Source organism: Homo sapiens, chromosome 12 (genome assembly GCF_000001405.40).
Source record: "Homo sapiens chromosome 12, GRCh38.p14 Primary Assembly".
Lineage (NCBI taxonomy): Eukaryota > Metazoa > Chordata > Mammalia > Primates > Hominidae > Homo > Homo sapiens.
In genome coordinates this window covers 68,400,280-68,403,874 of record NC_000012.12, presented here as the reverse complement: position 1 = coordinate 68,403,874, position 3,595 = coordinate 68,400,280, and the positions used below count along the sequence as shown (strand labels likewise).

The 3,595-nt window shown below is 42.5% G+C and overlaps 1 annotated feature.

The window, feature by feature from the left end:
• Positions 648–1,847: an enhancer, noted in NCBI's record as "P300/CBP strongly-dependent group 1 enhancer chr12:68795808-68797007 (GRCh37/hg19 assembly coordinates)". NCBI's record gives its function as "activates an origin of replication core promoter dependent on BRD2, BRD4, P300/CBP, MED14 and CDK7 cofactors, with strong dependence on P300/CBP, by STARR-seq in HCT116 cells {active_cell/tissue: HCT116}" and the evidence as "EXISTENCE:reporter gene assay evidence [ECO:0000049][PMID:35650434]".

The following is a 3,595-nucleotide window of genomic DNA, read 5'->3' as shown; positions in this document are numbered from 1 at the left end:
AGGCAACTGCCAGAGTAGATAGTAACTTATGGCATATATGTTGCTAATGGTGGATGAGGTCATTTCAAGAGCTGGAATTGGGAAGAAGGATAAATACATACATGGAGGAGCAATAGAAGTCTACCTTATGGAGCATGTGGAAGTGAGTATTGAAGTTGAGGTTCAAATCCTTGCTCTGTCACTTACTGGTTATGTAAGGCAAGTTTTCTTAGCTTAACTTCTCTCCTATGTAAAATGGGTTCTATAATGGTTAATGTGGCTAAGACTGCGGGGCTGGCAGTTAACCCCAATCCATTCTTGTTTTCTTTTGTGGTAACAGATATGTGGGCACATGGCTGCTAACATATTTTCAAGTCTCTCTTGCTGTTAGACATGATCAAGGAACTAATTCCCTGCCAGTGGAATGTGAGCAAAGTGTGTGTCATATTCAGCTCTGGGACATAAGACTCCTCCATGTTCTTTCCCCTTCCTACAAGGTGGAACTCAGAACAACCCAACCTTGACTGTGGAGACAAGAGCAAGATCATAGGGGTTTCAGAGTAATGATCTGGGAGGAACCTGGTTCTCTAAATGCAGATATGAAGCAGAGCTGCCTGTCCACCTGGAACACCTGCCCACTGTTAGATGAGAGAGAAATGAACTTAGATTTTTAAACCATTCCATCATTGTTGAGTTTCCTTCTTATGGCAGAATAGCTTTACCCTAATCAATAGAGTTAAGTCTTTTTATGTTGTGAGTAATAGAATACTCAACTCAGACTAGGTAAATTAATAAGTGGTTTTACTTGGCTCCCATATAAGAGGAAATTTTAAAAGGACGGAAAATTTTAGGGTTTTTGATTTGGTATTCAGTGATATCATCAAAAATTGATTTCTCCTGTCCCTTTGCTCTTTCATGAAGTCAACTTCACTCTGGCGCTGGTTGCCCTTATGAACAAAAGTTCTCTGAGAAGGAATTTGGAGAAAAGGCTTCATCCTTGTAAACAGTTTGCAAACTGAGGAGATCATAGCCGTCTGCGTGCATTTCAGTGAACAAAGAGAGCGTTCAGATTTTATAGCAAAATTTCTTGTCTGGGATCCCAGTCAGGTCTGTTTATGCAAATAAAGGATTCAAACTTGCATGGTTCTGATTAGTCAACACTGCTGAGTTCTGATTGGTTGATACAGCTGAGCCCTGATTGGCGGGGCAGGTGAGCTCTGTTGGTTCAGGTCAGAGCTGAAAGTCCCCAAGTTAAAAAGGTATGGGTTTTCAGCGAACTCAGAGGACTTGTGTGACCTTTAGTCAGCAAATAGCATCTTGGCTCCATTTTAAATTTAGGACCAGTTAGCCACTCAGGATTCATCTGAAAGGCTGGGTCTCTCAGGTTCACATTGGTTCATTTCTTGATGGTGGCAAAAGGGCTATGGCAATTCCAGGCTTCATGTCAGCTCCTTCTAGAAGGAGAGAGAGAGAGGAAAAGTTTGCACAAGTGAGCTACTTTCCTACACCCCCAGAAAACTTCTTATTGGTTTGAATTTGGTGATATCTCTTCCCTGAACTGTGACCAGGGAATGGGCTTATACCGATCAGCTTAAGCCCTAGCCACTTATCCTATCCCTAGCAGCAGGGGTAGGCCAGCTTTTCTAGAACATGCGGGCCATGTGGAGGAGGTGTGGGTAAAAATTGGAATGTATGGTAGGGAAATATCACATATCCACTACAGGAATGTATTTATTGTTTAAGGATTAAATGGAGTGAGATAACATATAAAGGGCCGAGCACAGGGTTTGGCACAGAGGAGGTGGGTACTGATTGTTAATTTACTCTTCCTTCCTCCATCTAGTTAGCTGTGCAGCAAAGTGGTACGGCGTTAAAGAAGATTCCCTGTTTAGGTTTCTCAAGGCTGTGTATTTGCAGGACCAGTGAAACAGGATTGTGATGTGCACAGAGAAATCTCTTCTCAGTTTCAAGATTCCTGTCCCCCATAGCAATTATTGTCAGGAATCGCCCAGGGGGAGCACCACCACCTCACACTCAGTTCCCAGGAGAATTAATATAAGACTTGGCTCCACCCTTCCGGAAGCTCCTTTCCACAATCCTAGATGATTACTGGGCCATCAACTTTTTGTTTGTTTGTTTGTTTGTTTTTGAGACTGAGTCTCGCTGTATCACTCAGGCTGGAGTGCAGTGGTGTGATCTTGGCTCACTGCAACCCCCGCCTCCTGGGTTCAAGCGATTCTTGCTCTTCAGCCTCCCCAATAGATGGGATTACAGGCACCCGCCACCACGCCTGGCTAATGTTTGTATTTTTAGTAGAGATGGGATTTCACATGTTGCCCAGGCTGGTCTCGAACTCCTGACCTCAAGTGATCTGCCCGCCCTGGCCTCCCAAAGTGCTGGGATTACAGGCGTGCGCCACCGCACCTGGCCAACTTTGAAAGACGCAGGTTTGAGATTCCAGAAGGGGCTGCCTACCCAGCATCTTGTGTTACTAGTTAGTGCTTCTTCAGGTGGGAAGGTGATTGAGAGACGTGCCTGGGCCAGGTTAATGGCTTCTCCTCCATGCACTTGGTTAGAGGCTGTATAATGTAATGAAAAGGTTCTGGACATGAGTCTGAAACTTCATTTTACCATCACTATCTGTGTGATTTTCTGTAATTTAATTCTTTTTGCTTTAGATTCCTCATCTGTAAAATAGGGCCTTGACTCTTGCTCTACCAGCCGTTTAGGGTTGTTGTGAGGCTCAAAGAAATATTGTATTTGAGAGGACTTTGTAAATAGAAAATAAATTTTAAATAACAAGAGTTGGCTAACATAATAATGGAAATACTTTTCTAGGACCTAAATTTCTGCATACTAAGGATCACCTGGGGCTTGTGAACAAACTAGCTGAGAGAGAACAGGCCAAGTGGGATATTTTTGTTCATAGTGACAGCTGATAGGGCTAGGTTTAATGAACAATTATGTATTGATTACCTAGGTGTGTTTGCTACTGGTGTTTTACATGTTAGCTGCTAATTTAATCTTATTACTAACTGTATAAAGTAAATATTATCATACTAGTTTTATAGGTGAGGAAACTAAGCCTGAGAGTGGTTAAGTGCCTGTGCCAATATCACACATTTAGGAAGTGGCAGGCCCGGATTTTAAAGTTAAGTCTGTTTAGCCACCAAGGCAAATGAGGCCATCAACTGATTCAGGCAGGGAAAACATGACCACCCACGATGCTGTATCCAGGTGGACTAGCTTATAAGACAAGGAGACATTCATCCAGGGGCTTATAATAACTCTTTCACTTGCCTATTCATCCATGTAATCCACAAACATTGACTGAGCACCTCTCATGTAACAGGAACCGTGCTAGATTTGTAATAAAACGATGAAGAAAATAGAGTTCCCAAGGGTTCAAGAAACATCGCTGCAGCAGAGTAGCTTGTCAGACATCCCATTTATCCTTAGTTCAATCCTGTTAGGAAAATTGCTCCTATTGCTTGGCCAGTATTAAAGTTTTAAACATTATTGTTCTGTAGAAATTATCTGCTTACACTGCTTCCTGCCAAAGAATGGCATAAGTCCATAAAAACTGAAGATCATACATCCAGTGATTTCTTTTCAG